This window comes from Homo sapiens, chromosome 2, assembly GCF_000001405.40.
Source record: "Homo sapiens chromosome 2, GRCh38.p14 Primary Assembly".
Lineage (NCBI taxonomy): Eukaryota > Metazoa > Chordata > Mammalia > Primates > Hominidae > Homo > Homo sapiens.
In genome coordinates, this window is record NC_000002.12 from 177282191 (window position 1) to 177294761 (window position 12571).

General features: G+C 43.1%; 1 long non-coding RNA gene across 1 annotated transcript in view; it reads right to left on the reverse strand.

Annotated features, from left to right (window-relative positions):
* Positions 1-1317: 1317 nt before the first annotated feature.
* Positions 1318-12571, reverse strand: part of LOC100130691 (Putative uncharacterized protein FLJ44553) — a 109184-nt gene continuing 97930 nt past the window's right edge. The window contains exon 9 of the long non-coding RNA NR_026966.1: positions 1318-5644. This is a non-coding gene — a long non-coding RNA (Putative uncharacterized protein FLJ44553). The remainder of the gene's footprint in view (positions 5645-12571) is intronic.

The window sequence follows — 12571 nt, forward strand, 5'->3', positions numbered from 1 at the left end:
TGCTCCTGACCTTACCCATCTGCAGCCCAACTCCCAAACAAACTTCACTTGATCCAAGATCGAGTTCATGTAACCTGATAAGCTAATCATTAGTGTGTTAACAGGAGAGGATTATAGGGTTCACAGTTGAATTTTAACAATGGCTCGGGTGGAAGGCATGTGGGTAGCTGAGTCGTTCTAATGGTGGGAAGTTCAGCTGGGGAGATGGAGTGTATGGCTCTGTGCCATCTGAGAGAAAGATATTTTTAGGCAGGCAGGTTTTGAGGCAGCCAGCCTGAGAGAGCTGGTTTGATGGGCTGCTTTTAGCTGCACAGCAGGAACAGGCCACAGGCAGGGCAGTCTTGTCTGACTTGAGCCAACTTTCACACTATGACCTGAATAAAATCAGCAGTTGAAGCCACAGACTGGAGAAGAAAGGATGTAGTCTGCTGATAGCAATATATATGTATATAATGCATTTGCTTTGAGCCTGGGTCTGTCATCTATAATACAGATATGTAGCTATGATCCTGGGTAGTTGAGAGTTCAGACTCTGGGATCACCACCTACCAACTCTGTGATATTGGGCAAGTTGTAGACTGAATAATATGCATTTGCTGATATTTAACCTTTTTGATCTACACACACAGGAATTCCACGTGGTTTAGCCTAATAGCTTACTCTCTTTTTCCTTGGTTTCCTCATGTGTGAAACGCAGATAGCCACCAAACTTTTCAGGACACTGTGAGGACCAAATGAGAGGGACACATAAGGTGGTCAGAACAGTCCTAGCCCCACAGTCCATGTCAGTGATGTCAGCCACCACCATCCTACTGGTGAAGAGGCAGGCATACAGGGCCATTAGACTCCATCAGCTGAACCTAGGGTAGCCCAGACTCTTCCTGTCTTCCTGAGACATGGAACATGGATGAACCAAAGTGAATTGGTCACCTTAGCTGAACTGTAGAACTTCATTCTAATCCCAGGGTGAGGAAAGGGGAGTAGGTTCATACCACAGGTTTTTCAGGTCATTCCAAGACTGAATGTTTGTTTTTCCTCCCAATACAATCAGGTCCTAAGTATAAAAAAGAGCTTTTTATCATGAGGTTTTGCTCTAACACCATGGAGCCCTTTCTTTAGCCTTACATCTGTCTGTAGCGCCCACACATGGCCGTCTTCTTCAACTTAACTATATACACACACATACGCATACATTGTGAAGCACATAAGGAACACATGAGACAGCCTCATCATTATCAGATTACAAAAAAGTTACACTGAATTTCTTCTCTCAATAATTAACAGGGAGCAATTCAAAAAGAGGAAACAAAACATATGCTGTGGCATTATCATTATAATTAAATCACATTTATTAACTGAAGCAAATTCACTTGAGCTTTTTATAGGATTCTAGGAAATAGATTCCTTACATATAATGAGGACGTGCATCTTTAGGTCTTTTCATATTTTTCTTCCCTGTAACAGTCCTATGTTTGGTCTTTTCTCGTCAGGTTCATTCCCTTGACACTAACAGAGAACACTGTAATTCTAAAGTAAAATGATAGCTGGGGAACCATGGATTCCAAGGCCAGTACCTCCCCATTGTGTGGATCCCACAGATATGAAGTCAGAAATCTAAAAAGAAAGAAAAGAAAAAAACCTTGAACCTGGCTTGGTTTAAACTCTCTTTAAGCAGCCCTCTTTCACTCAAACGTGAGAAAGTTCAGCTTTCAACATGTATTAACAAAAGATGTTTACAACAGAATACCTGGTTGTGCCGAATAATGGCTTTGCTCTTTGAATTAATTTTTTCCTGGTGACAAAGGCTGAGCTTTTGAACTTCTGGGTAAGGCTAGGCTGGGCATTTTTGCTTGGCTTGGTTCTCTTAAATGGTTCGAAAAGGGTTGGTCTGGCACCTGGTATTTTGTGGCCAGTAATTACACTACAGTTGTTACTATGCATTACCGAAACTTCATTTTTTGACCAAAAGCCAACTGTATTATTTAAACAAACATCTTTTGAAAGCCGAATGTGCTTTGAAATGATTTTAAAATCCAGTTAATGAATAGGGTTACTATTGAATTTCACAAATACAAATCAGAATTTTTTTTGATGCTTCATATTTTTTTCCCCTGCCCTCCCATCCCACCCTTGGTGATGGTTGTACCCATTTGAGCATTTCTGAGCACATGATAAGTCAGAATTTTTTTAAACGATGTTTTGCTTTAGCATGGTGTCTCTCTAGTACAAGCCGTATGTGACCTTTCCACTTAAGCCATCTTAATGTTTCCTTTCCTTTCATCAGTGTGGATGTACAATGACATGCCCCTTCTATTTCCACCCCCAGGGAACAGATTTACTCTAGGGTGTGTGTTGATAACTGAGGCAGGGTGACTGATAAAGACTTAAATAGCCAGAGAAAGGAAAAATCTTTTCTACATCTAGAAGACTAGTAATCTACGGCCAGGCTTTCACAGCTGTGGGGCTTCTGAGCCCAGATCCTAATTCTTTTTTTTTAAATTGGATTAACTAGCTCATTATCACCCAATTCTTAACTGAAAGCTTGATCACCGAGACAGCAGGATCAAGCCATGGGGATTGAGGTGGGTGGGTTGGGATGGTACATTGAAAGACCAATCAGGCAGGAGAGGCCCTCACCTGCGAGTTCCCAAATATATTGTAAGAACTCCTATCAATGCTTTGTCCCCTCACTGTTAGTTTCAGAACAATGACACACAGATACTCACCTCACAAGGACCTGATAAAGTTAAATGTGGTACACATGTGATCGAGAAATTTTTTTTTCTTAGTATTCCCCTACCCCTTCCTCCCTGCCTCCGTGCGCTGGACAGCAGGCCCTTGTCCTGTTGCCTCAAGGTAGAGAAATAATGTGACAAGATAAACAGCAAAACAACAACACAACTTCTGTAAGTTGTGTTTTGTGTTATAAAAAAATCTCAGAGGACTAGAGAGGATTTGGAATAAAGCCAAAGTATTTGGAAGAAAATGGTTTGAGGAGAGAGGAGCTTCCCTGGAAGACTAGAAACACATCCCTCCACTGGTGGGAAGAAGGATGGATGAAAAGTGAGAGGGCAAAGGCCTGGGTACGGTAGGTCCTTTCCTACTTCTCTACCTCTGTGTCTCAGGGAGGCAGCAAGCTGGGGAGAAGAATGACTGTATGTTATAAGCCTACAGAACTTCCCAGACCCTGGAGTGGCCCCAAAATAGCAGGGAGATGCTGGGCACAAATGGGCCATGCACACAGGAAGGAGGCACAGGTGCATCAGTATCGGTAAAGGAAGGCCAGAAGGAACTGTGGACATCTGGGTTGGTGCCTCCTCAAACAGCTGACATGAGGAACAAATGGATTTCCCAATACCTTGGCCCAACCTGACCACCTTCCCCTCCACCAAACCTTCATCCCACCCCAAATGTAAACATATCTTTAAAGGTAGAGAAATACCAAAGTGATCAAATTCATTGCTGACACCTTCCAACATATAAATTAGGTATATTCATAAAAGAATAAAGATGTATTTCTTGCATACTTGAGTTTGTACACTGAGGGCTGGGCATCCAGTTTGAGCTTCTGGGGAAGACAATGTGGCACAGCAGAGAGACCACTAACCTCAGAGTGAAAGAAGCAAAGCTCTGTCACTTAGCAATGTAAACTAAAAATAAATCCCAAGGCCCCCACTGACTAAATGGACCCCCTTGTGGCCAAGAGGACCCCAGAAAAAAATTTAAAGACTTAGTTCCCAGCTATGATGAGAGGTCAGACATGCCTAATTATACTCTCCTTCTCTTTTATGGTTTAGACACAACAACTGAGCAGCATTAATGTTCCAATAGAGATCACATGACTCACAGAACAGATTCTTTGTGGCAATAAGATACCGAATTATAAACAGGACCTAAGGCCATGCCAGGTGAGGGGAAGTCATGTACTCCTACACCTAAGGAAGAAACTATGCTCTAACTGCCACAAGGATTTTCTTTTTCTCCAGCAGCTAAACAAGCACTGGCCTCAAGATAAGCAATATTTAAACAATTGCAAATCATCCTGCTCATAGACTCTGCCCAACTGAACCCCTGTTCCACCAGCCATAACTACAGCTTTCATTGGATGAGAGACTAATTTTAGTAACTTTTTCCTGATAAGACCACCAACCATGGACTGGTTCTGACTAGTTTACAGAGATTGTGTACTTGTGAGCTTTTGTGTCCTGAAATGACCTTTTGATGTGTAGGGCCTAACTGTAATACATTGAAATGTTAAGTCTCCATCCCAAAGTGAACATGGGTCATGTGTTACATGTATGTTTGTTCAATACGCATGTGTCAGGACCACCCTCATGAATATTCATAGCTCCTCCTGTAACCTGTTGAATATGTATATTTAGTCAACCTGTTCAGCATAAAGCTCCATCCCAACCCCTCTGCCTTCAAAATGCTTGTCTCTGGGCTTCTGCTGAAGGCTGAGCTTCCCAGCCTGTGAGATAGCCACTTTGAAGGCTATAACCCTTTATAAGAAATAAAGTCTCCTCTTTCTTTGTCTAAATTTATAAATTGTGTTTTTAAGTTAACAGTACTATGTAACTTTGGACAAGCCATGTAACTGCTCTGGGTCTCAGGGTTTCCGTCCATAAAGTGGGTGATAAAACTTCTGACCACTCCTAGTCCTGTTGTGAGGAATGGGATGCTGCATGTGGATGTCACAAAATACAGCAGGACTCAACAAGGCAGTCTACATAGTATCAAATGCTAAGCATGATCAGAAGAAAAATATAGATAATAATTCCAACATGTAGAAACTTGTAGCAAAGACTGGCTAGATACTTGTCGATTTCATTTTCTTTTCCTGGCATACAAGAAGACCTTTCCCAGGCTTCCCTTGCAGTTAGGATGGGGCCATATGATTGGGTTCTGGCTAACGGGATTTGGCAGAGGTGACAGCAGTGCTTGCAGACCTAACACAGATCCTGCAGTGTGGTCTTATACATACTCTCTTCTCCCTCTCTGGCAACTGTTGAGGCCAAATGCTGAAGATGATGGCATTTTAAGATGAAAGGAGCCTGAACCTCCAAGTCACCACTTAGAGATGTTGTGCTGAGGAGAGTCCCTGCACTGGCTTCTGATGCATAATATAAACTTCTATTTGAGGGTTTAATGCAGCCTATGTAGCCTATCCTAACACTGTGCTATAATAAGAAAAATAGAATATGTTATTATGACAGAATATATACATTCATGTATGTATCCATATAAATACATATGAGATGTCTTGAGGCATAAAGAAGTGGCTCAGTCAATACCTTTCCTTCCATATTATGAAGAATGTAAAAGTTCAATTTGTGCTATTCTTGGGGAAAGATGTCACAGGCACAGATTGTGATGACATTCAAGTCTGTGTCTGGCTTGCTCAGTGGAAGCACAGTTACCTAGAAAGCTGGGGAAATCTTCCGCTTGGAGCTGACAGACACCCAGGCCCTCTGCTCTACTTCATCACAGCTGCTGAGGTTTTACTTTGCATGATCTGCTGCACCAGTTTCAGCTGGGAGACAGGCCTCTTCTTCCTTATGTTAAACTCTCCATGGACATTCAGTATTCTAACAGGAAGAACCCAGGAGATGCTCTTGGATCCAGGCAATAAGAGAAACCTGTTCTGTAGGGAACACATCTGTTAAAAAAAAATCTCAAAGCAGTAGGTTTTGCATATTTGATTATTCCTATGTCTATTCCCTAAACAGTTCAAATATGCACACATTTTCTGCCTAATTTCTTCTAAAGCCATCAGAACAGTTGATGCCATTGACCGTACTCAGAGACTGAAACCTCAGTGCAGCCCTGGAGGCTGCCCAAGTGCAGATAGCAGGACAGTGGTGTTTTCCTCAAAAACTACACTCTCTTTGTCCAAGGCTGGCAAAACAGTCTAGTTATGTTTGAGCTCTTGGGCTTCAAATTACCTGTGCTGCATGCTTTGTCACCACCCCTCTCTGGATAAGGCTTTATTCTAATTCCTTTAAACCAGTAGGAAGGATCCCTAGGGAGGGTTGTGTACCTCGTTCCTCAATTTAACAAAGACTACCCTCCTTTGGACCAGTGGCTGGCTGCAATCCATGGCAGAGAATCCTGCCCAGTGGGCTTGCAAACTCTGGCCATTGATTATACAGGGCAAATGAGGAGTCATGAATACAATGGGAGATCTGGACTGGTGAGGTGACTCACGCCTAGAATTCCAACACTTTGGGAGGCTGAGGTAGGAGGACTGCTTGAGCCCAGGAGTTCTAGACCAGCCTGGGCAACACAGGGGGACCCTTCTATGTCCCAGGGAGGAGACTTGGAAATATTTGGCCACCAGCTTTAATGACCACTATACCCACTTTTCCTTTCCTGCCTCCATCTGTTTGTTTGTTTGTTTGTTTGCTTGTTTTGAAACAGAGTCTTGCTCTGTTGCCCAGGCTGGAGTGCAGTGGCATGATCTCGGCTCACTGAAACCTATGCCTCCCAGGTTCAAGTGATTCTTCTGCCTCAGCCTCCCCAGTAGCTGGGATTACAGGGGGACGCTACCATGCCCAGCTAATTTTTATATTTTGGGAGAGACAAGTTTTCACCATGTTGAGCAGGCTGGTCTCAAACTCCTGACCTCAAGTGATCTGCCCACCTCAGCCTCCCAAAGTGCTGGGATTACAGGCATGAGCCACTGTGCCTTGCCTCCATCTGGGTTTATAGTCTCTTTCTGGTGACATTCAGCTCTAGCACCTGATCCTAGCACATTTATTGTCAATGGACTTTCATGCCAAGAGTTTCACGCCAAGAGCAGCATTGGTAGTAAGTTGGACACTGGACGCCAAAGACAGAATCAGCCTCTTCATCAGTGATATCCATTCATTTATTGATTAATTAACAGATTAATTTATTAGACAAATGCTGACTGAAACTCTGTTATACTGGAGATGTGCTATGCGATATGATACGACCTTCAGTACAAAATATATAAGCCCAGGAAGGAGTGAGCTGATAATATTAAGCTTTTACTATGCCATTTATAGATCTCATTTCCTCTATTACATTATTCTCTAGGCAACTTGATATTTTCTCTCCTGCATCTTCTCAATACTCACTAAAGACTGAATTTATTGGCTTAAAGTAAGAAACATGAAGCTATCAAAACTAACGAGCTCACACCTGCTTAGCCAAGGAGGATTTTTCACCCATACCTCTCGGTTTAGGTGCAGGGTTTGGGGAAGGGGAAAAGACTTAAAACTGGGAAGTTGTGATGTCCTCACATAGATGGCTAGTCCCTGCAGCTTGTCTTTATGCCGTAAGTGTGACATTAGCCATTCCCAATGAAAGTGGCTGCTTCAGAAGGTGCAGGTTGCAGTGGTCTCCATTTATGTGGGGAGCTTTACAAAACCCATGACCAGGCTACATCCAAACCAATTAAATCAGAATCCTGGGTTGGGGTGAGACTCAGGCATCAGTGTGTTTTAAATGTTTGGCAGGTGAAGCCATTAGCCTAGGACAATGGTTCTCAAACTTTAACATGTATCAGAATTACTTGAAGGGCTCATTAAAACACAGATGGGCCAGGCATGGTAGCTCACATTGGTAATCCCAGCACTTTGGGAGGCTGAGGCAGGAGGATTTCTTGAGGACAGGAGTTGGAGATCAGCCTGGGCAACATAGCAAGACCCTGTCTCTACAAAAAATAAAAAAAAATCAGCCAAGTGTGGTCGCACATGCCTGTAGTCCCAACTACTTGGGAGGCCAGGGTGGTAGGATCTCTTGAGGCCAGGAGTTCAAGGCCCTCCTTCAAAAAACAAAACTGAAACCAAACATAAAACCACACGGATGGCTGGTCCCATCCCCAGAGTTTGTGATTCAGCAGGTCTGGAGTAGGGTCTGAGAATCTGCATTTCTAACAACTTCCTATCGGATAATGATGCTGCTGGCCTGGGCACCACATTTTGAGAAGCACTGGTCTAGGAGACCCTTGGCTACCTTAAAAACTGAATGGAGTGGGGATGGAACAGAGTAGGGGAGGCCTATTTCAGCCTTTGATTACCACTGGAGGATCTGTTTTGGTTGCACTCTTGGCTCAGATCTACTTGATAGTAATCTGCAAAATGTAGATATAATAAAACTACTTTATACATAGTTGTGAGGGTTAAGTGAAATGAGGCACGGAAGTGGCCACAATGTTAACCTGCAGGAGTCTTCGTCGTCGTACTTCAGGAACTCAGACTGAATCAGGTTTCCCTAGAAACCCAAAGTGAACAGGAACCTTTGAGGAGGGTCTGAAACCTCCATACCACCAATGAGTGTTTTCTTACTTCCTCTCTCCTCTCTCTCTTTTTTTGTTTTAAGACAGAGTCTCACTCTGTTACCCAGGCTGGAGTACAGTAGCACAATCTCGGCTCACTGCAACCTCCATTACCCAGGCTCAAGCGATTCTCCTGCCTCAGCCTCCTGAATAGCTGGGATTACAGGTGCACGCCAGCACACCCAGCTAATTTTTGTATTTTTAGTAGAGACGTGGTTTCACTATGTTGGCCAGGCTAGTCTCAAACTCCAGACCTCAAAGGATCCACCCACCTCAGCCTCCCAAAGTGCTGGGATTGCAGGCACGAGCCACTGCACCTGGCTATTTTGCAATATTTTAAAAAATACATCTGTCAGTAGTGAGCCAGGTTAAAAAATAAAAAATAAAAAATACACAGTTTTGCAATGTTCCTTTCACTTCAGAATATATCTTGAGGATAGTTTCACATGAATGCATATAAATCTGCATTATTCTTTTTCTTTTCTTTCTTTCTTTCTTTCTTTTTTTTTTTCAAGACAGCGTCTTGCTCTGTCACCCAGGCTGGAGTGCAGTGGCATGATCTCGGCTCACTGCAACCTCCACCTCCCTGGTTCAAGCAATTCTCCTGCCTCAGCCTCCCAACTAGCTGGTACTACAGGCACGCACCACCATGCCTGGCTAATTTTTTGTATTTTTAGTAGAGACGGGGTTTTGCCATGTTGGCTAGGCTGGTCTCGAACTCCTGACCTCAGGTGATCCACCCGCCTCAGCCTCTCAAAGTGCTGGGATTACAGGTGTGAGCCACCGCGCCCAGCCTGCATTATTATTTTTCTTGAGTCTGCATCACCCTGTTGCAACAATATAGCATAAACTATTTAACTAGTTTCCTATAGGTGGATGTTTACCTTTTTTTCTTTTGTCATTATAAGCAATTCAAACAGCAAGTCAAACAGATTTGTTACATAAATTCATTAAAGTGAAACTGTTGGATCACAGATTATGTCCAATTCTCATTTTGGCCCAAACTGCCAAACTCCCTGGAAATTTCCAAGAGGTAGTATTATATAATAGCAAGGGTTCTGCTGCCAGACTGCTGTGGTTTGGCTACTGGCTTAGCCACTTACTAGTTGTGTAACCTGGGGTAAATTACTCTAAAATGCTGTACCTCAGTTTCTTCATCCATAAAATGGGGGAGAATAGCAGCTGTTTCCTCACAGGGTTATTATGAGGTTTAAATGAGAGAATACATGTGAAACAGTATAACACCCGACACAAAGCAATTTCTGGGTAACTCTGACACAAAACAGAAAATCAAAAGTCAAAACAAGACAAGTAGAATCCCTCAGACAATGGGGAATGACCCAGATTGACCCATCTTGGTTTGGGTCCCTGCTTCCATGTAACACTAATGGTTCCAAATGACTCCACACTGGGGCTATGCGTTTAGGCTGCACTGATGAGGCTTGCGTAGGTACAGGGCATGGTATGCCTAATGGTCTGGCCATTTCACTAGGGCCAACATGACTTCCCCGAGGGTCAGGCCCTTGTCTTTGCTTGCCTGGCATAATAGCTAATACAGAGTTAAGTGTGGGGTTTCAACACTAGAGCCTCCAAATGAGTGATGTGCCCAGAGTGAGATTTAATGCTAACAATGGGTGTAGGAGGCTTACTTGCAGAAACCAATGCTGGAAGAATTGACTTGCCTAAGATCACACAAAAGGAAAAGATGGAGGTGGCATTAGTATAGGAGAAAGCATTCTCTTTCCACTGTACAACACTGTGTCCAGCTACCTCTCTGTAAGTGACTAAAGGAATGGAGTTGGCCATTTAAAGAAATGATGATAATGACAATGATGTTGACTATGACAACAGCTGCCTAACTAACGTCTATTGAACACAATGAGCCAGGCACTGTTAAGTGCCTAAGCATTTTATGTGGATTATTTTACTTAATTCTCCTGACCATATGGTTGAATGTTTATTACTGGTAGTTACTGGTTGAGTGTCAGGTGCTCTTCTAAGCACTTTACACATTCCGACTCATTTCGTTTTCACAACAATTCCATGAGGTAGGTACTAATATTACCTCTGTTTTAAATGAGCTGAGGGAAAGAGAGATTAGCTAACTTACAAAAACCTAGTGGGTAGAGGATTCGCACTTTTAATCCAGACATTCTGGCTATTCTTGTTCTTTTAGACTAAAGATGCAGGAGGTTGAATTAATAATACTCCTCATTCTATAGTACCCTCTCTTCATCAGTCTCTTCGCGGCCTCTCTCTTGTTCTATTTATCCCTATCTATTGATTATCTATCTATCTATCTATCTACCTATATACCTATCTATCCATCCATCCATTTTATGTTTCTCCTCTTATTCTCCTCCCCCTCCCCAGAAGTGACCATTCACCGTACTCAATTAAATGTGCATCTTTTTGTTTGCGTAAGTTGTACAACCTGTGTTGCCACACTATGCAAGTCTGTGGCTATAGCCTGCTCTAAAATGCTTGAACTATTCTACTACAAAAGTTAACTCATACGCTGCACACTGCCCTCTCTCTGTTGTTGAGCATAAGCCAGTAAGTGAGTCTGAGAACATGGAGATCGTATAGTCTTGGTTCAATTTCCAACAAACAGATTTGAGTTAATATAGTTACAACAGATCTTGAAAGGTCAGCAAGATAAAAGGATAAGCTAGAGACCAACGCAAGTCCAAGGGTTGATTGGGGGTCTGGCTTCCCTAATCTTCATTAGCTCCCCTAATCCCAGATTGCCCTAAGTAATAACAAACCATGTAAACATGATGAGCTTGCCATAAAGCACAGCTTAAGACAAGTCCCCAAGCTTCTCACTTCCAACCAGATTAGCACCCCAAGCCTCTGGAGAGGACTGAATCCATCTACACTGGGACTTTAGTAAAGCATTTAACTCACATATCCAAGTAAAGTCCTGATGGTTAAAAAGTGGTGTTCTAGGCTGAGTGCAGTGGCTCATACCTATAATCCCAGCACTTTGGGAGGTCCAGGCTGGAGAATTGCTTGAACCCAGGAGTTTGAGACCAGCCTGGAAAACCTAGTGAGACCCTATCTCTACACAAATCAAAAAAAATCTGGGCATAGTGCAGTGTGCCTGTAGTCCCAGCTAATCAGGAGACTGAGCCCAGGATGTTAGCACTACAGTGAGCTATGATCACGCCACTGCACTCTAGCCAGGACAACAAAGGGAGACCCTATCTCAAAAAAAAAAAAAAAAAAAAAAAAAGTTCTAAAACTGGAGGCACAATTAAATCTGCATGAACCAATATAGTTATCCTAAACTTGGATCAATTTGAGACCAAAGCCACCTCCACCATTCCTGAGTGTTGAGAATTCCACCCTGTACTCCCTGCCACTCTGACCAGCCCTTAGTCCCTCCTTCTCCCCCTACAACACTCAGCTCTCTTCCCTGCCATCAGGCCTGTTGCAGGCTGAATTTTGTGCCCTCGGTGAAATATGTTGAAGTCCTAGCCCTCAGTACGTCAGAATGTGAGCTTATTGGGGGAAATAGTGTCATTGTAGATGTAACTAATTAAGATGAGGTCATACTAGAGAAGTAGAGTGGGCCCTTAATCCAACAAGACTAATGTCCACGTGAAGAGGGCCATGTGAAGATGCAGAAATATAGTGAGAACATCATGTGAAGATGGAGACAGAGATGTGAGTGATGCATCTACAAGACAAGGAATACCAGCAATTGCCAGCCACCATCAGAAGCTGGCAAAGAGGCATGAAACAGATTCTCCTTTGGAGACCTCAGAAAAAACCAATCCCGCCAATCCCTTAGTCTTGGACTTCTAGCTTCCAGAACTGTGAGAGTATACATTTCTGTTGTTTGAAGCTGCCTGGTGGTACATTTTTATGGCAGCCTAGGAAGGGCTGCAAAAGGCTGGACAGCCATTTCTGAGCCTGGGCTCCATGGGGAGATATTTAGCAAAGGCTTTGACCAGCATGCTGGTTTCATCATCCCTGGCCCATGAGCCAGTCTTGCCATTCCCAACTCTGAATAGGACACCATCTAATTTCCCTGCTCCTGGACCTAGGCTGTCAAGGTAATAGCAAAACTAGATGAATTGATTATGTTGCAAAGTCATTGTCTCCAATCATAACTTGCCCCTTTCTGAGCCTGAGCAATCTTTCATCACATTGAATAAGTATCATAGAGATTCTCAACTAGTGGGGAGAGAAGGGCTCATGGTTTGAAATAAAAACTTTGCCTCATTGCTTTACTTCATTTAAAATTTATTTCGAATT